Consider the following 20,936-nt stretch of genomic DNA (forward strand, 5'->3'; position numbering starts at 1 on the left):
CACAAGGGGCGAGGTGCCTCTCCTGGGAGGTGAAGGCTGGTATGGTTCAGTGCCGGGGCTGGGGCAGGGAAGCCTGGAGCACTCAGACCTGCTTCTGGGGGTGTCCCCTGAAGATGGTGAGCTGGATTAGCCACTGTCAGTGAGGTGCTTCTGGTTTTTCTCTGTTTCTATTTTCTATCTTGACAGAAAAATTGTGATTTTCACACTGTCACTAAACCAATAGGTCCCTGACATGTGTTTTTGTAATCTGTGGAGCTGGTTTCCTGTACTTCTGACAGTTCTATTACATCTCTGACAGTTATATAAAATTTTTCCTCTGGGAAGTTGATGGGGGCTTTTGCCTCTCCCCTCACTGTAACTCCCCAGTCCCCCATGCTAACTTATGTTTGGAGATGATGGAGCAGGATGAATGCTTTTCTCGTTCCTGCCAGTCACCTCCTGGGAGGTGGACGGTAGAGTGCACAGCCAACAGACAAGGGAGGGAGACCCGAACCTGAGCTCCCTCAGGTGGGAAAGGGGAGCAGGACAGATCCAGCCCTGGTGACTCAGGAACCCACAGTGGAAGGACGCTTCATTCCTGCTGGGTTCCAAATTCGGCTGATTCCCTCTGAGAGTCCTGCCCCCACCCCTTGCAAACCACAGGGCACTGTACTGAGGGAGGAGTGCCACCCTGCTTCATACTGATGCCTGGAAATATATGGGGGCAGGAGGTTGGGGCAGAGCCTTGGCTGCAGTGTGTGCATGCTTGTGAGTGTGCACACGTGTGTGTTGAATTCAGGGTGTCACATCTGTGCACATCCACCCTTGCCAGACACTGTGCCAGGCCCTGGGGTGATGGGGCTATAGCCTCTGTACCTGGGGGGCCCAGGTGTGGGTATGAATGCTAGAGCTGCACCCATGGGTGGAGCACCTACTCTGGGTAAGTCTGTCCCTGTGCTCACACTGGAAGCACATGCATCCATGGGCATGCATGAGTGCGTGGTGCATATGGGGGTAGATGTGGGGAACATGTTTGCTTCTGACTCGGTTGCTACTGTCTGGTGCTAAGCACAATGTCTGTCTTCGAGACAACTACTTCTTTAGCAGAAACAGTGATAGAAGGGGGCGCTGGAGGGACGGGAGCAGGGGCCAACATCACCTCAGCCACAGGCATTGCCTGTCCATGAAGTGGGAGCTTTGTCACCCTGGTCCTGTCACTGCCCTTCTGTGTGGCATTGGACAGATCCCATTGACTCAGCCAAATTAGGAGGAGGCACTGAACATTATCTTGGGTATTCTCTATGAAGCACATATAAAGTGGCCCCTAGACCCCCAAATAGCACCTCAGCCTCTGCGAATGCCTTTGCCAGATCTCAGCCTGGTCTTGAGACATTATTTGGGGCCTTTCAATCGACTTAGCCACTCTGATTTTCCTGTCTATGGAAAACGAGGCGTTGCCATGGCAACTGCCACATTACACGGTTCTGTACTGACGATGCCTCTGAGATACAGAGCAGCTTCTCAAAGAGATACACTTTTCAACATGTCATGTAGAATTCTGTACTTGTTAGGGAAAATCGCATTTCCAGCAAAATGACATGTCTCTCCCGGGCTTGCGGACGCATGGCTCACGCCTTCCTTAAACAAAGAATTTTATTCACTGCCTCCCTCCTGCCTCTCTGGTCTGCTACTTGCTACCCACCCCTCCCGAGCCCCAATTCCCTTTACATAAAACATGAAGCTGGAGATGAGGGCTGCGCAGAGGGCAGGGCTCCACTAGCCAGGGTGGAGGTGCCCAGAGTGGGCTGTCCCTTACAGCGGAGGGGCCCAGAGGCCAGGTCTGGGGGTGGGTGCCTTGGCTCTGGCTGTGGGGTCAGCTAGCTGGCCTGGTTCTCCTATGTCCCTCCACTGGCTTCCAGGACCCTGGCCTGACTTCTCGGGGACATGCTTAGAGGAAGGATTGCAAGCTCCCCAGCCCCACTCCTTGGTCAGCGCTGCAAAGGGCCTAAGTGAGGAGCTGTTGTCCTCTTCAAGGTCATGGCCTCCACATATCTCGTGTGTTCAGCAGAACCATGTCAGCTGCTCTGTCCCTGTCAGGCAGTGTGTTGGGGATAAAGCCAGCCTCACTGGACCCACTTGGTGTGACACTGGACCCACTACTTTCCCTTCTTGACCTCAGATCTGCCATCTGCCCCTGAGCAGGTGGGCTGGATGCCCCTGGCAGAGCCTGCTCTGAGAGTCTGAGAGCCTGTCCCCATGCTCCCACAGATCTCCAGACCCCAGCTCTCCTTGTGGTTCTACCTAGAGAGTCTGAAGCTCTCTTTCTCTCAGATTCTGTGACTGATAAATTGGCCACTGAGATATCCCAGGAAAGTCTGTGTGGACACAGGGATGAGCTTCCCCTAAGGGAACTGGCTGCCTGTACTTCTGAGCTCAAACCAGAAGGCTCCTATCCTGGGAGCCCACTCCTGCATGTTGGCCTTTGCCGGAGGGATGTTGGACCAAGCTGCTGAGTGACCAGGCCAACACCTCCAAGCACTGATGCATTCAGATTACTTGATGAATTGATGCAACATGCATGTGTTGAGGGTCAGCACTAAATGAGTTAATACATGTGAAGTTGTTTGATGAGTGCTCGGCACATACGAGCCATGGTGCTCATTGGCCACAGTGGCATGAGAAGGGTGTGGAGACGTGGAAACACTTGCACAGCCACTGCCTCCAAGGAGCTTGGAGAGAGGGGACAGCCCAGCATCGAACAGTCTCAGCACAGGTGGGGTGGGAGTGCTCAATGTAGCCTGGTCCTCGAGGCTGGGGAACCCCTGAGGGTCTCCAGCCCTTTTCGCTGGGCTGAGGGGAGCTCTTGCTTTCAGGAGAACTGCCTGAGGCCCCTTCATTCTTTCCTATTAGAATGGCCTCAGAACTAAGACTCCCCCCAGGAGTTAATCCCACAGTTTACATTGGCCTCTCTCCAGGGAGTGAGTTTGAGGACCATTTTCTCCCTCTGCCTTCCCTAAGGCAATCACATTGTTCCTGGAAAAGCTTGGCTATGGAGGGCTTTGTAGGCCCCTGGGGCTCCCTGTGGGTGGTGAGGAACCCTCAGGTCAGCCTCCTTTCACAGGCTGGTTATCTGGGAATTTGGCTCTTAGACAAGTTGATCAGCAGTTGTCCTTCTGCCAAGGGCAACAGGGAACCTCTGGAGGGGTGCAGTGGGTTGGTTCAGGGCACTAGAGAGAGTAAGGAATAGCAAGGCCTGTGTCAGATACAGAGGAGCAGCTTTACACGAGGAATTCAGTTTTCTTTCCTTGAGACTAGTGATGTTCCAAGTGTGGTTCACAGGTCTGTGTTGCTGGTTCACAAATTGTTAGTGGTGCACGAAGGAGTAAGGAGGTTGCATCAGAGCATAAAGCAAATACAACATTAAACACATATTTAATTCAGCTTATATATGCACACAAACACGCATGCCCATAATTTGTATCACAAGACACTCTTGATGAAGGCAGCAATGCATCGATTCAGGTTCTAGTGCAAGCTTTGAATGCCATTGCAGACAAGCTCTCTGAGTAACACTGCTCTCCACCACCTCTCACCTGTCTCCCAGTGGAGATGGGATCTGCCTCTGTGCTGCCCAGGCCAACATTCCCTCTCTAGTGGCCTCCAGGAGCTTCCCACTGGGTCTCCCTGCCTCCAATCTTACCATCTTCCAGCCCAAAGCATCCTCCACCCTGCTACCAGAATGTGCTTTCTATGCAACCCTGGCCATGTTGCTTTCCTGCCAAACACCTTCCAGTGGGTCTCCGAGTCCAAGTTCCTTAGGGCGGTGTTACGTAAGGGCCCTGTGAATCTTGCTCTCTTAATGCCTTCCCACCTCATCGCCCACCCACCTTGCTTTGTCATCTAGTCACAGGATTTCTTTCAGTTCTCCAAATATATGGCACTTTGTCTTACTCCTAGGCCTGTGTGCAAACTGTTGCTCCTGGGACACTGCTCTCCCTTCTTTTGTCCTGGCTAACTCCTATCCCTTCTTCATCAGAGACATTATCTTTCTGAATTAATTAGGATGGCCTCAATTGTATGAAAGAGACTGTTTATTTTCTCAAATATCCTTCTTTCTTATCTATGGAATCCCCCCTTTTGGTTAGGTTGATGGCTGCCCAGGACAAATGTAGCTCCCAGCCTCCCTTACCGCCAGATGTGGTCATGTCGCTAAATTCTAGTCAATGGGATATAGACAGAAGAGTTTCTGGGAGGTGTTCTTAAAAGAAGAGGGGGATATTTCTTCCACCTCTCCTCCTCCCTGCTATCTGGAAAGCAAATGTGATGCCTGGAGCCTGGGCAGCCCTCTTTGAGCCATGTGAGTGGAAGTCACATGCTAAGAATGGCAGGGCAGTGAGACAAAAGATGCTTGGTTCTCTGATGACTTTAAAGCTGCCCCTGTCACTCTGAGCTGCTTATCTTCAGACTTCTTATACATGAAAGAGAAATGAGCCTCTATCTTGCAAAAGCTACTGTTATTTTGGGGCTTTCTATTAATCACAGTCAAATCTAATTCTAATTGATGCAGGTGCAAGTAATTGAATACCTGAAAGTAAGGAAGACATTTTAGATCTCTCTTTTAACAAGACATCTGGAGGGGGCCTGTTCCAGAATGGTTCGACAGTCTGATCAGTGTCTATGGTTCTTTCAGCCTTTTTTCTCGTGGTCACAGGATGGCCTCTGCAGCTGCAAATATCACATCCTCACATGGAAACATCTCAGGTAGAAGGATGAGCATAGGTTGGAAAAGATGAAAGATGTTCCTTCTCACACCCCTGTCCTTTAACCTTGGAGGAAAACTCTCTCCGAAAGCTCCAAGCATGCTTCCCACTGCATCTTCTTGGCCAGAACCATAGCTGCAAGGGAGGCAGGGACAGTTAGTTTCTGGGTGAGACAGGCAAAGACCAGGGTTGGGAGTGGCTGGTGGCTGGAAAGTCAGTGATGCCTTGACATTTTCCCTCTGTGTAGTGTCTGTTCATTGGCCTCTCTCTAGAGCAGGAGTTCCCTAAGCACAGCAGCTGGCACCAGGTGCTCTTAAGAGTGCATCCTTTGGAGCCTGACTGCCTGAGTTCAAATCCCAGCTATGCTGCTTGTGGCTGAGTTAACGTTTCTGCACTTCATCATTTAAAGGGGAGAGGCAAGCATTCTCACCTACCTCAGAAGGTTGTTTGAGGAGTAAGCGGGTTCATATATGTGAAGCACAGAATGCCAGTTCTCAAAATTGGCTGCAGGCTAAAATCATATGGGGAGTTTGAAAACTTAATGGTGCCTGGCTCCTGAACTTTACCCTGGACTTTCTCAGGCTGGTTACCTGGGAATTTGGTGCTCTTGGTCAAGTTGACCAGCAGCTGTCTCTCTACCAAGGGCCACAGGGAACCTCTAGAAAGGGGGGTGCAGTGGGTTGGTCCTGGGCACTGGAGAAAGTAAAAAATAGCAAGGCTTCTGTCAGATACAGACAGTGGAATCTAACTGGTCTGGGGTGTGGCTTGGGCTTTGGGATTTTTAAAAGCTTGCTAGATGGCTGCCATGTGCAGCCAAGAACAGTGGCTAGCAGAGAGGAAGCATCCAGTAAAGGTTAGCTCTGATTGGTTTAGTTCATCATTGTGGCCCCAGTCATGAGCCCAAAGCCTGGCACAGAGTGGGCCTTCAATAGCTGTTTGTTGAAAGAATGAATGAAACGTTGGGGACAGGAAGAGGGAGTTGAGGTTGTTTAGTCCGACCCTCTGGCACTGGGATTGCTACCCTGCCCACTTGGTTGTTGCCTTGGTTGGAACATCTCCTGTGGGCTCCAGTGCTGCCTGTTTCCTCCTTCTCCCAACAGGCCCCCAAAGGCTCTGCGCAGACCAGCACTGTCTCCTCCTTCATCCACAGAGAGGATGAAAGAACATGGCAAGAGGAAGACTCACAGAACCCCACAGAGAAGCTTTGAGAATTGGGCTGTCTGGCTCTCCCATCACCCATTTGGCCACCAGCTTTGGTCCCAGCTGCTGTGCCCTCGGGGGATGCATTATGGCCCTGAAAGGGGCCCTTGTCCCTTTTTGGGGTGTCATCCTGGCTGGGTGGTATGGATTTCTGCTGTAAACATGGCCCATCTGGGAGAAGCCCAGGTGCCACGTTTTGAACAGCTCTGAAACTTAAAGCTCAGAAGGCTTTGAAATGCAAATATTTTGAAGGAAACATAAGGTAAACATGAGTGCTTATTTCCCCCTGATGAAAACAATATGCTGTTTGCTCTGAAATGTAAATAGGACCTAGATCGCTTTTAAAGAAAGCCATGTCTCATATTTTTAGGTCCAGGGTAATATCGTTCCTAAGAATATGTGCATCCGGCAGCCTTCCCACCTGCCTGAATCCACACTCCCTTTTTCATTCCTGATGCCCCTCATTCCAGCCATTGCTATCTTCTCCCATAAATATTCCAAATCCACCTCCCCCCTTCCCAATCCGGAATGCCACACTCCCCCGCCACAACCGTCATCTAATTTTTCCAGTACTCTCTGAGTGCTTGGGAGTTCCTTTTGGATAGAATTGGGGAAAAAAAAAAATCTGTAGCCAAAGGCGTTTCACTGACTTGAAAGAGATTTTATGGTGCATTGAGTTCTAATCAACTTTAATAAGTATTTAATGCAGGATGGAGACTTTGCCCTCAGCCCCGAGGCCCAGCCATGCGTGCTCGCGGCCCCCTGTTGGCCATGAGAGTAAGGACCGCTGCTGGGACCGGTGTTTTGGGTGGGCGCGGCGAGTGACAGCTGCAGAGAAACGAATAATTAGCGATTGCAACCCCTGATAATGAGTAGCTCCATGATCCTTCTTGGAGCCATTAGGAACATCTATCTTATTAATGATCCCGCTCGACAGCCACGGGCCCGGGTGCCCGCTCCTCTCTCGCTCCTCATCTGTGCACAGAAAAGCGGAGATGGAAGGTGGTCATTTTTCATCTCCCTTAGTAGTGGGGGCTCGAGCTTTCTAGGCCGGCCACATCCCTAGGGCTGATTGGGATCCACCCATGCCCCATGTACCATTCACCCTGGGCACTCCTCCTGTCGCCAGCAGAGAACACCTTTCATATGTGCCCACCTGGTGCCTCTTGGGCCAGGGGTGCCATCACCCACAGTATGCTCTCTTCCCTCCCTGCCATTTGCCTGGGATTTGCTATGATCACCATATTTGGGCAGGTACCCGCTAAGGGTTCAGGGCCTTATCCAGGTTCACACAGGTAGTAAGGGCCAGCGCCAGGATAGGATGCTTGTCTTTTTTGTGGGTTTTCCTGATGCTCCATGTTGGCCTACTAAGTGAATTCAAGAAATAGCAGCCCTTCCTGGCTGGTTTTCTTAAAGGCGATGTCCAAGCCAGCAGTTGCAGACTGTCTACCAGCTGCATCTGGTTTGTAGGTATGAATCTGTTTGACCTGCACATGTCTTAATAATTGGGAAATAGCCACTTAAATTTCCAGATTTACTGAGAAATTGGAAGACTTGGACACATTAAATTTGTAGTTCTGTATGGCTAGATCTCAGGGGGCACCTGCTCTTTTAAGACAGTTTGCCACAGGTCCCACCACTCCCTATCATCCCATGCCTTGCCTGACTGACTCACTTATGTTACCTGTCTGTTCCCATATCTGTCTGTGTTTGAGCTTGCTGTGTTTGAGATGAGAAAGTCAAGGTAGATAGGTCACGTGACTCGCCTATGCTAGTAAGTGGCAGAATTCGGTTTTAAACTTAGTTTTCTTGGCTGTAGCTTCAGGGCAGTTTTTCATATAGCCAGATAATTCAGTTATCAGATACTGAATGGACGGCGATGCTGAAAGGAGGGTGAATTTTGCAAGTGACCTAGAAATCTTTTCTCTGATTCAACTTCTGGACTATAATAGATGACTATGTCATGAACGAGTACCTGCCCACTTTAACTGGCATATCCCCCTCCTCCTAAACATCCTCCTTCCTCTAGAAGTTTCTGTTCTTGCTCCCTCCCTTAGACCCCTGCAGATTCTGCCATGTTTTTAGAGGACCCTACTTCTCTAGTCTCACTTGATTGGCCTGGACGTGGATATGTGACCAAAGTTGAGCCAATTTCAATGCTTTTTCCCATCTGGCCAGGGATAGTTGGTTCAGGGCTGAGCATTGCATCCAAGTTGTGTGAACTATTTAGACCTGTGATGTTCAAATCTTATTTTATCAGCAGATGCCTTTTCTTAAACAAATGAGATGGGCAATAGAAAACATCTACCAGGAATAACATGGTTAAGGTTGGCATGGACTTGGAATCCCACTCACTTGGATCCCACATTCTACCCCAGTAGTTCTTCAAAGTTTGTGGGAACTCTAGGGCCCCACAGAACACAGTTTGCAAATGGTTTTCCTTGAGAACAAATAAGTGGCAAGATCCCAGCCACCCACTGAACACGCCAGCAGATGCCTTGCTGAAACCATCACCTTGGAGACAAGATGGGCAGAGCTTGAGAAGCCCTTAGCGACTGTTCATTTTTATAGGGTGAAAGCAAGCCTTAGAATGAATATCTGAATCAGTGCTTCAACCTAGAGTTTGAATCTCCTTGTTTTTCCTAAATTTTTTTTCTGGAAGAACCTTCACCCCTCTGTCCCAGCCTCACACCAGTACTCTATCTCCCATCCTGAAATTGCAAGCTTTTAGGGAAATGAAGAATGACTCCACTCACTAAGCAAACAGAACTTGTTACTTAACAAGTGGTAAGTAGTTTAAACATTGCTTTTATGTGAAATGTATACACATAAAACAGAAGAGAATGCAACATTCACCTGAGGCTTCAAAATAAAACATGAAGCTTGAAAGGGATTTGGGGGTTATAATGCTGCTTTGGATAAAATCTTCTGGTGCTCTTGAACAGGGCCCTCAAAATTTCTCTGTAAAAGGCAAGATAGTAAATAGTTTAGGCCATACAGTCTCTGCTGCAATCACTCAACTCTGCTTTTGTAATTAGAAACAGCCTTAGATAACATGTAAAGGAATGGGTGTGGCTGTGTTCCAATAAAACTTTATTTAGAAAAACAGGTGGTGTGCTGGGTTTGGCTGTAGTTGCTGGTCCCTGCTCTAGGTCAATGTGGGTACCCTACTTTGTTTTTATAGGTTTCTTAGTAGACACATCTGAGAGCAGTATATGACACTAACTAGGTATCCTACAATTCATTCAATTCTGACACAAACTTCCTAAGGCAGACCCCGCAAGTTAAGGGCTCAGCCTCCATTTCATATGCACTTCTGTCTGGCCAACTACAAATTCCCAGGTTCCCCTATCCCCAATCCAGGCTTGAATATTTGCCAGAATGACTCACAGAACTCAGGAAAGTGCTATCCTTATGACTGTTGTTTTATTATAAATGATACAAATGAACAGATTCACCAGGCAGGTCTTGGGGGTGAGGGGCCCGTGAAGCCTAAGATACTGACTATCTTGCCCTTTACAGAAAAAGTTTGATGATCCTGAGCAGTGCATCAGGAAATGTTCTCCAAAGCCACATTATACCCCCCAGATACCCCTGAAGTTCAACTGTTTTATTTTCAAGCCTTAGGAAAATATTGCATTCTCTTCTATTTTATGTATATACATTTTACAAACAGAGTGTTGCAGAGCTTCCATGCTCTCTCCCAGTGGAATGTGGGTATGGCACTCTTCCAGCAGTGTGGAAGTTACCCAAATCTTGTTTCAGAGTTTCTATCTGGGGTTTCATTAGTAGGCGTGATTGATGAAATCATTGGCCATGAGATTGAATTCAATTTCCAGCTGCACCCTCTCTCCCCAGGGGTTGGTGGGGGTGGTGAAAGTTCTAGCTCTCTAATCACATGCTTGGTGTATCTGGTGTGGCCAGCCCCTCTCTTGAAACTATCTAAGGGCCCACCTTGAATCACCTCATAAAGTTAGGTATAACCAAAAGGTGCCCATTATGAATAACAAAAGACACTCCTATCACTCAAGAAATTCTATGGGTTTTTGAAGCTCAAAAACCAAATATGTATTTTGTATTATACCACAATTGGCAAATGGATTTTACTTAATTTCCCAACTCCAACTGATTGGTCATGCCTGCTTGGAGTGCTAGGCTGTAGTTTCTGAGGCTGGGTCCAGGTTCACTGGAAAGAGTGCTGTAATCAATTAGTGATGTCTGCCATGGGTAATACAGGAGGCTTTAGCAGCACGTGTGCCGTTTATCTGCCATTCCTAAAGGGAAATCTCTGTATCTGGCACCTGTTTTCCAAACAGTATTTTCTTATCTTCCCAAATTTTGCCTGCTAACCTGTATTTATGCTATCTAGCCTCTCAAAGAGGCTATACTGAGGTCAGATCCTACTATCTTCCCGACTTGATTTTAAGTTTCAGGAGAGCAGGTTTCCTGGTGACCATGCATGAAAACTCCAGTAAGGAATATAGCCAGCATCACTCTGTGTACAGAGTTAAGGCTGCAAGAGGGGAGGGGAAAAGAAGTCAGTGAGAGTGTATAGAGGTCAGCTTCCCTGAGAGGTAGAGGGCTGATCAAGGTCCCGAAGAATGGGCAGGATGGGGTAGGTGGAGGGGAGAGGAGGGTATATGTCAGGAAGTGAGGTGTTGAGGAGCTGTGGGAGAAAGAGCTGAGGGCCAAGTCTTGTCCCCGACTTCAGAGGGCTTGAGATCCAGGTAGAGTTGGTAGCTGTGGGAGCCCTTGTTGTTGCTGGACAGGAGAGCTACATGGGACTATTTTGACATGGGGGAAGATGCATGGAAGGGCATTTCTGGCCAAGCGTAGAAGAACATGAGCAGGAGGAAGTGCTCCTGTTTGGAGCAGCCTGGCCACTGCAGGGAAAAGAACCTCTCCAGGTGCACGCATTGGCCCATTGTGTAGGAGAAGCCAGATCATGCTTACCTTCCATTCCCATGCACCAAGCAATCATCCCCAGAAGTGGGGTCCTCTAAAAACTTGGCTGCATCTGCCAGAGTCTAGTGGTGGGATCAAGGAGAAGAGAAACCTATAGAGGAGAAGGGAAACCTAGAGGAGCGTGTGCCAGATGAAATGAGCAGACATTTTCTAGATATCCTTGTTGGGCTGACACACATGGCTGTGAGGAACGAAACTGTGCAGTAGGAGCTTTGTGATCCGCTTGGCTGACCTGGAGCTGATGTTTGGATTAAGGTCTTTCACCAACTCTGATGAAGCACCTGCCAACATGGTGCTGGTGATGTTCACTTGCACAGCCCATGTAAACCTTTGAGGAGCAGGTACTGCGCCCATTTAACAGATGAGAAAGTCAAGGTAGATAGGTCACGTGACTTGCCTATGCTAGTAAGTGGCAGAATTCAGTTTTAAACTTAATTTTCTTGACTCTAGCTTCAGGGCAGTTTTTCATATAGCCAGATAATTCAGTTATCAGATACTGAATGGATGGCGATGCTGAAAGGAGGGTGAATTTTGCAAGTGACCTAGAAATCTTTTCTCTGATTCATCATCTGGGCTATAATAGACGACCATGTCATGAACGAGTACCTGCCCACTTTAACTGGGATATCCCCCTTCTCCTAAACATCCTCCTTCCTCTAGAAGTTTCTGTTCTTGCTCCCCCGCTTAGACCCCTGCAGATTCTGCCATGTTTTTAGAGGACCCTACTTCTCTAGCCTCACTTGATTGTCCTGGACGTGGATATGTGACCAAAGTTGAGCCAATTTCAATGCTTTTTCCCATCTGGCCAGGGATAGTTGGTTCAGGGCTGAGCATTGCATCCAAGCTGGGCCTATCCCAGGCAAATCTTTGGCCTGAAATTTTTCAAGACGGAGCTGAAAGGGAGTCTCCAGACTCTCCCCACAATGCAGGCTGTAGGGTGTCAAAGCCAGGAGCACCCGGCCTCTGTGTTGCATGCCATGCTGAGGAGCTGGCCTGCAGGTGAGAGGGAATGAAGCCCCTGCAGAGAGGATCAGAGATGAGAGATGGAGGGAGGAGGTTCTGTTCTAATTCTGGTTCCTGTTTCTCTGAGGCCCAGCTGCTTTCTGCCTTTCCTCAGTTGGATCATTGAGCCTCCTTTTGGATTCTGTGAGTGAATACATTCCCCTTTTGGCCTCATCTAGTTCGAGCTGGATTTCTGTCACTGGCAACATGAGTTCTGACTGACACATAGCCCGTGTGGAAGCATCTGCCATTCATATGCGCATGAGATATTTACAGGGCTGGTCCTGCATACATGGCACTGTGCACAGCTGCAAGGGCACTGGGCAGGGGAGCACGGAGAAGTGGAGAAGCGGGTTCTGTTCAGAGATTTGGGGTGCAGACAGGATCCATCTGCAGGGGACAAATTTGTACAGGCTGATCATAGACTCTCAAGGATATAAAGGGACATCCCTGACACCCAGATGTCACCTAGCCTGGGGTTGGACCCATGACCCCCAAAGCAGATTCTAACATGTTATGTCTTCACCTTGAAGGAGGAACATGAATATCTCCAGATCTCAGAGAGGATGTCTGACCCTTGAGCCAGAAGAAGGCCCATTTACTCTGTGTTCACTGATTAATCCTGAATGCCAAATGTGGTGCCTGATACACAGGAGGTACTTCATAATCATAATGTGAGCTGAATGAATGAATGAATGAATGCATAAATTAATGCATGCTCAGCTCCGCTGAGCTCACTCCTCTTCCAAAGCAGTGGAGGAGGATGCAGCCTCTGTCTTAGACATGTCCTAGCAATTCTGGCTTCCTTCCAGAGCCTTCCAATCCTCCCTGTCCCCTGTTCACCTGCACTGCCTCCCTGAAAGGAGAGTTATATAGAAAGAGGGTCAAAGCCCCAAAGCCCGAGGTCAATCCCATTCCTGCACTAAGCCAAGTCCTGCCTACCACTCACACCACGTCTGGTGGTGTCCTGCTCTTCCCTGCTGTCTCTCTGTCTCCTGCATGAATGCACCCCTACTCCCTGCACAGATGTGTATGCAAAACCCATCCTGTCTTGGCATTCACTGTCTTAAAGGCACTCAGTAAATGTTTGCTGAATGAATGTGGAATGAATTAGATTAAACAGATACACTTGCTCTAGCCTCCGTGAGATGGTTTGCTGTTTAAGAGCTCAGCAACTCACAGGGGAGATGTCACCTCAGGGATCGGGATGAAGAATGGACCAAAGTGCTGGAATAGATGGAGGTTCAGGGCACTATGGGTGGGCACCTGAGGGAGGGACTCACAGAGGGGTGGCATTTGCACTGGGCTCAGAGGGAATGAGTAGGAGTATAGCTGGTCAAGAGTATACCTGGTAGGAGTGTATCTGCCAGGATATGTTATGAATTACAGTGATAGGAAAAGAAAATCTCAAACAGAGGTAGGGTAGACTTCAGGGCTGGCTGATTCAGCAGCTCTCAGATGCTACCTGGGACTCAGGTTCTTTCTCTCTCTACTCTGTCATCCACGGTGTTGATTGCATTCTATAGTCAAACAATGGCTGTCAGCAACATTGGGGGCAATGTGTGTCCTAGTCCTTGTCTAGTGGGAGAGAGGGGAATCACTCTTCCAAGCGTAAATTATAATTGGATTGGTCAATTTTGGAAAAGAACCTGCCCCTGGACAAATAAGTCACATGGGAGTTCCCTGTGTTGATTGACTTAGAATAATAGGGCCCACCCCTGGGAAGGATGAAATCAACTGCCCTTGAGCCACTGGGTTGTGTGGGGAATAGCAGGTGGGGGATACCAGAACAAAACAGAGGCCAGACAGGAGGCAGGGAGGATGGGTAGCAATGAAGAGAGTCCACATTGGAGTAGGGGAAGATGCACGGAAGGGCATTGCTGGCTGAGGGAACAGGCCATGTTAAGGGTTAGTGTCAGGACTTCTGTGTTTGGGAGATAATAGGAGCCAAGTGGAGAAGGGGCTGAGAGGCAGATGCCCAAGGGCAGGGCTTGAATGCCATGCTGGGAAATGGGATCTCCCTAGGAGAGTGGACTTCCGTGGACAGGAGAAGGGGAATGAGAAAAATGCTGAGCAAGCCCAATCCCTCCCTCCTTGGGTTCTTGTGGCGGTACCATCCCAGGATTACCATCTGAAGTAGACTGGGTTCTGCAGGTTTAGACAAGGCTTGGGTCTACATTTCCCCACGTCCCCTTCTCTTTGGGGTTCTGAGTTAGGGCTGGCCACATGTGGAGCTGTGGGAGATTTGGAAGGTGGAAGCAGAGAAGAATTAATCATTCTCAGAAGGTCATGGCCATCAGACAGGGTGACAGATGCAGAAGTGCCCACGGGCGTCCAGGGTCCCATTCATCTTTCCAACTCTTGGCCTTGCCCACCTCACCAGTGGGGGGGCCCCGAGCTAGCCACCAAGTGCTGGACTGCAGGTCCCCCAGAGGCAGCAGCCTCCATAGCCCCCGCTTCCTTCCTACCTGCCCCCCTGTTCCCGTGCTTCAGGCTGTTGGTGCCTTCCTCTGGTCCTCTCCCAGACCTTGACTGCCCAGCCCACCCGCATCTGTGTAAGCATAAAAAACTCAAATGCTATGTTAAGACTAGTTGTCTTAACACCTACACATTCACTGGAGTCATCCTCGAGTCATAATAGCTCAGCTTGACCCGATCAGAGAGGCTGAACTATAGCATAACAGCACAGACTGCTGGCTTCAGATCCTGGCTCCCCACCTACCTGCTGTGCAAACTTAGGTGAGTTTTCCATGTCTCTGTGGCTCAGCTTCCTCCTCTGAGAAGTGAGCCTAAGAATAGAACTAGCTGCAGAGAGTGGCTAGAGGAGCCCATGAGTTGACAAGGCAGCACGATTCGCACAGTGCCTGGAACATAGTAGGTGCTGTGTAAGTGATAGCTGTTGTTACCACCTATTTGTCGTGTTCCAGGCAGCAGCCCAGGTGTTCACACAGGTGTTAATTCATTTAATCTCCCCAACAATCCTGTGAGAGTGGTAGTGCTATTAACCCCATTTACAGAGTCACAGAGAGGCTATTAGGTTGGAACATATGAAATTGCTAGTTTTGTAGGTCAAACATAGTTCTGTATCAGCAATTGCATGTGGCTCACAGCTAGCATGACTGCAGGTCTCAAAGCCGGGCAACCTGCCCAAGGCTATGCAGCCTGCACTTTTACTGGAGCACCTACTGGGCACCACAGAGACGGTGTGTCCTCTGTTACAGAACTTATAATATTACAGGAGGGCTGTTTATGTAACAAAGGCTGTGCACATGGAACAGGGAACTACAGACTATTTTCAATACCTTTCCTCTACACCTTCGCTCATTTGGGCATATCAGACATAGACATCACCTCTTCCATGAAGCCTTCCCTAACTTCCCCCACCAGAGAAGTCAACCCCGGCACAGAGTCAGAGGTAGGAGAGGGCCCTGTTTATCTGGGGGACAGTGGGAAGTTTTGTGTGGCTGGAATGTCCACTACTTGAAGAAGAGCCTGGAAAGGGACCCAAGCCAGAGGAAAAGACTTCGGATGACAATGGGGTTTGGCTCCATTGTCACCATGAGAAGGAGCCATCCAGGCCAACTCTTCTTACTCATGAAATGCCACTGAATCTCTTGATCTTCGCCTGCCCTTAGGCCTCCTTGGAAGGTGCTCCTTGGTGAGGGTGCACCCGGGAACCTGAAATGACCTGTCTGGAAAGAGGTGGGCAAGTTTCCAAGCCTGGGCGGCATCACAGGGACTTCCTGGCTTTTGCCTGAGGCTGCAGTCCCTGTAAGAGTGACCCATTGAGTTGGCCTCTGCCCTGGGAGTTTCAGGCGGCCCCACGTCCCACCTTCTGCTTTGCATCCTCTGGATCTAACCTGCCTTCCCAAATCCAGGCCCGTGGCTTTGTTCTGGGAAGCACCATCTCAGCCCAGGCTCAGTGCTGCCCATCCCATCCCCATGTCTGTCCTGTACTCCTCTCTCAGGGTCAGGGCTATTCTCCTCTTATCTGGGGTGAGGGAATCTGACAGAATGTACCAGAAGCCAGGTCTCCCTGAGGGCTTTCCCAGGACTGCCAGGGAGAACTGGGGGTGACCAGGGTCTCCTATTCCCCTGCATGTGTTAAGAACTTTGGGTGTGGTGCTGGGCTCCCTGGTAGGAATCCTGGTCTGGCCGTTCCTAACCAGTTTCTCCTTTGCAAAATGGGGCTTACAGATAGCACTTACTTCCGAGGCCAGTCAGTGTTTAGCAACTGGTCTTGGAGTATAGTTCCAACCTGAAAATTGATTGGTATTTTTCTGTACCTCAATGATTGAGGTGAACGTGAAACAATGAAGATGTAGGTACAGACTTGACACTCACTTGTCAAAAGCATGAGTGACTTTGCTGAATTGGATAATAGATTTTGAATACAGAAAAAAATATTTTGTCGGGGGGGCTACTCACAAACTAACAGCTATAGACCGACACAGGCACACTTTTAAGTTTCATTTGGAAAATTAATATTTTCTCCATCACTTTTTTAAGTCTAGAAAAATCAATAAAAAATAAGTCAAGCCTTTGTCAATTTTCATAGTGACGTCACTAAACATGGAATTGGAAGAGAGGCTTAGTAGGCTTAGTAGCCACCATGATATGGCATTTCCACTGCAGAAATACAACAGAAGCACACGGCCCTGGCAGCATAGAGAACAATAAAGTGCAGTGAGATAATTCGGAAGTGATGAGTTTTGAGGATTTCTTACTTTTGTTTTTAGTATAATTTATTTTTAACTTATGTAATTTAATTTTAAAATAATAGTCATATTTATCACCCAGCTTGTAAAATTCTTGAAAATTTAACAATTGGCTCTTGTGAGCCGGTACAAGCTGGCTCCAGCATGCCACCCCAGGGTTATTACAGGGGGCAAATAATTGAATGTTTTCAAAATGTTCAGAAAACACTGGCATATTGAGTAAGCCCTCCATAAAATGTTAGCCAATCTTCTTACTTACTATTATGATTCTCGATTGGAACTTTGGTGAAGTCAGGGGCTGAGGTTAGGTGTGTTTTCCCACTAGACTAAGTTCCACTTGAGGACAGGGATCTCCTTTTGTTCTCCTGGCATCTAGCATAGGCCTGGCCTGCAGGAGGTGGTGGGCAATGCTCTCTGAGTTGGCATTTTTCCTGCTTGACCTGGATGGACGTCCGTTTCACTCTCGCTCACCTGTGGCCATTTCTGGGTCCTTCCCGGCATCACAAGCCACAGATGCCATCAGGTGGGCCTGTTGGTCTTTCCCTTTTCCTGTTGCCTTGTCAGGAAAATCTCACAAGAAGGTGCATATGTGGGAAGCCCACTTCTCAGGTTCTGACCCAGGAGAGGAATCGAAGGCAGATATTGTCGGCTCCATGCCTGCTTCCTGCTCTTTAAAGAGACCTGGGGGTGTTTACAAGTTTAAAGCCTCACAACATTGGGATTGAAGTAGCATTGCCCCTTTGTATCCACGGGGTCTGCATCTATGGACTTAATGAACTGTGGATCCAAAATACTCAGGAAAAAAAAAATCCACAAAGTTCCAAAAGCAAAACTTGAATTTGCTGTGCTCTGAGTCCTACGCTGAATCCACACGAATGAAGTGATGTGCAGACATTGTATTAGCTATTATAGTATAAGTAATTAGAGATGACAAAGTATAAGGAAGGATGTGCATAGGTTATATGCAAATACTATCCCATTTTAAACCAGGGACTTGAGCATCCCTGGATTTTGGTATCCATGATGGGTCCTGGAACCAATCCTTAGTGGATACCCAGGAATGACTGTGCTTGCAAGAGGTGGCTGAGTTCCCATCTCCCTGCTGAAACTAATGGATGTGCCAACCCTATGCAGGGGAAACATGTACTTAAGGACCCAAATCTTACTGGAGGAGGGACTTGTGAGGAGGGAGGATCAGAGAAGTTTGCTCAGAGTCTGATAAAAGTAGCGTGAATGCTTTTTCCTTTATCCACAAACATTTATTGAGCATGGATCATGCGCCAGGATAGGGCTGGCTTCTGGGGATATGAAGTAAAAATTCCACAGCCTTTTCTCTCAGGGAGATTACATTACAGTAAAAGGAAGCAAAGAGCCTATTGGAAGGGCTGTCACTGGACACAGTATGGAATCCCCCTCAGCAAGTTGCAGCTGCTCAGGTGGGGGCGGTTGGTCCTAGGGAAGCATTGGGAAAGGCTCAGTAGAGGGGTGATGCGTGGTTTGCTTGTTGCAAGGTGGGGAGGTGCTCACCTGATGATTAAGGGACAGAGGCCATGGTGCTGTGGGCAGGAAGTCCCTCATGGACGGGCAAGGCCATGTGGCAGGGACTTATGTGACCCAAGCAAGTGAGAGGAAGGGCACAGGGCAGGGCTTAGCAGAGGAGCCAGGAAGCAGCAACAGAGAAGGGGTTCACCCTTAAAGGAGCAGTCCATAAAGAGATGGCAATGAATAGGTCAGAAGGTGAAGGAAGACAATGAGACAATGATAGGTACCCCAGAGTAGAGCCTAGAGCCTGCACAAAGACAGGTGCAGGCAGCTTATTTGTCAGGTGATCGTGAAAGCTGGAGTGAGGGAGCAGGGAGAGAGAGAGAGAGTGAGAACAGGGGAATAAAGACTGCATAATTACTGTGGGCAACTGATCACAAGCCCAGTAGGACCCTCTAAGGAACTGTGGAGAAGATGCCTTGGAACTCTCCCTCCCAAGGATGGGAAGTTGACTCACTGGCTCCCATCTTCCATTGGTTGGGAGTTGCCCCTGGGGGTGTTAACTCTTCCATGTTTTGGCCATGCTTGTGTTTGAGCCAAGGGGTCACCCTGAGGCAGAAAGGGAGAGAGTCATATCAGCACACTTGAAGTGAAATGTTGGCAGCAGGTATATAGCTGTCTTTCTCAGCTGTGCTGATGTCAGCAGGACCAAAAAGATGTGACATGGAGCACACAAAGTATTTGCTAAAGGAATCAAGGAAAGAGTGAGTTTCAAGGAGAATGGGTTGGCAGGTTGCCTGTCATGGAGAAGTCTTGGATGGAAAGGTCCAGGATGGAAAGAGTTGGGTTTGCATTGGGGCTCAGCAGAGAGGCAGGGACAGAGCCAAGTTGCACTGGGCTGAGGAATGAGAGGGCAGTGAAGAAGCAGAGACAATGGCATAAGTGATTTTTTTTCTGGATTGTCAGCTGTGAAGGAAAGACAAGGAATCTGGCAATAGCCGATGGTAGATACAGAATAAGGAACTCACTGAGGATGAAGAATGTGCAAGGATCAAGGATAATGGTGAACTTTAGGGACTTCAGGGTTTGCATTTCAAGTTTTCTTTCCTTCAGATTGTGTATGTGTGTGTGTGTGCGTGCGTGTGTGCGTGTGTTTGTGTGGGTGTGTCTGTATGTCTGTGTGCTGGACTAAAGAGAGAGAAGGAAAAGTTGCTCTTTTCTTGGGACTGTGGGATGACATGGGCATTGAGGTTGGACAGATTTGATTTAGAATCTTTGGTTCTGCCATAGTGTGATCTGGGCGACATACTTGGAACTCAGTGTTGTTATCTCTAAAATGGGGATAACAATATTTCTCTCCCAGGGTACTTCTGGGCTTGAATAAGGAAAGGTTTGTAGAAGAGTCTGACACAGATTAGATAGTCAGAGCCTCAGCATTGTCTTGAGAGACAGTGTGGTGGTTAAGAGAACAGATTTTTGAACCAGACTGCCTGCCTGGGTTCAGGCCCCAGCTCTATGCTGTCCAGGCTGTAATGCACACAGCGACAGCATTGGCAAGAGTAGGGGTGTGATGAGATGTGAGGCTGGATTGGTAAACACGTCCAGAGAGCTGAGACCAGAGCCCAGGCCAAGACTGGACTTCATCTACCCTGAGCTCTAGGGCCCTGGCCACTGTGCTACTCCCAGTGACTTAGTTTTTCCTCTGCCAGGAGAGGGTGAACTGACACACACCTGTCAAATGTGCGGCTCAGATACCAGCACTCCCTATCTCTAGCAGACATTATCGATGGAACAGACACTTTCTGGTGGAGTTTGGACATTGTCTCATTCAGAGTGCTTCTTGACATGGGCTACACGTGGGCCCTGCAATTGATCAGACTTGCCACATGAGATTTTCCATCTAGGTCTAGGTGAACTCTCTAGATGTTCCTGTTCTTAGACCTGGACAAGCCCAGCTTCTGCCCAGGCCCCATGCTTTACAGGGCCTTTCTCCAAGTTTTCAGAAAATGTATAGCTAATCACGGTCCTCATTTTTTCACTTGGCTGGGTCTCTCCCAACCCTGCAAATCGGGTAGGCTGTGGGATTTGTGTCTATGGGGTTGTTCCTGGTTCAATTCTAGAAGGGCAAAGTATTGAGTAGATTACCTATGTTACCTGGCATGGTATTTCTTCCCTTTTCTTTTAAATAACAGTACTATTAAGATATAGATCACACACCATATAATTCACCCATTTTAAGTGACAGTTCAATGGTTTTTAGTGTATTCAGAGTTGTGCGCCCATCACCACAATCAATTTCAGAACATTTTTATTGCCTGAAAAGAAATCCTGTATCATTTAGCCATCACCCCCTTATCTCCCCTATCTCTCCTAGCCCTAAGCAACCACTACTCTATATTCTGTCTCTACAGAGTTTCATATTCTGGACATTTCATATGAATGGAATAATATAATATGTGGTCTTTTGTGACTGAATTCTTTCACTTAACATAATGTTTTCAAGGTTCACCCATGAGGTAGCACGAATCAGTACTTCATTCCTTTTTATGGCTGAATAATATGCAATTGTAGGGACATATCACATTCTGTTTATCCATTTGTCCATGATAGACCTTCAGGTTGTTTCCAACTTTTGGTTATTATGAATGATGTTGCTATAAACATATATACAAGTTTTTGTAAGGACATAGATTTTCATGTCTTGAGTATATATCAGACTGGTGCAAAAGTTATTGCGGTTTTTGCCATTACTTTTGATGCCAAAAGCGACAATTACTTTTGCACCAACCCAATAGGAGTGGAATTGCTGGGTCATGTGTTACTTCTATGT

The 20,936-nt window shown here is 48.2% G+C and overlaps 1 annotated feature.

Annotated features, from left to right (window-relative positions):
- Nucleotides 2,349-3,295: an enhancer, noted in NCBI's record as "NANOG-H3K4me1 hESC enhancer chr10:80136659-80137605 (GRCh37/hg19 assembly coordinates)". NCBI's record gives its function as "activates a minimal SCP1, AML or CMV promoter by ChIP-STARR-seq in naive H9 embryonic stem cells {active_cell/tissue: H9 hESC(naive)}" and the evidence as "EXISTENCE:reporter gene assay evidence [ECO:0000049][PMID:30033119]".

Source organism: Homo sapiens, chromosome 10 (genome assembly GCF_000001405.40).
Source record: "Homo sapiens chromosome 10, GRCh38.p14 Primary Assembly".
Classification (NCBI taxonomy): domain Eukaryota; kingdom Metazoa; phylum Chordata; class Mammalia; order Primates; family Hominidae; genus Homo; species Homo sapiens.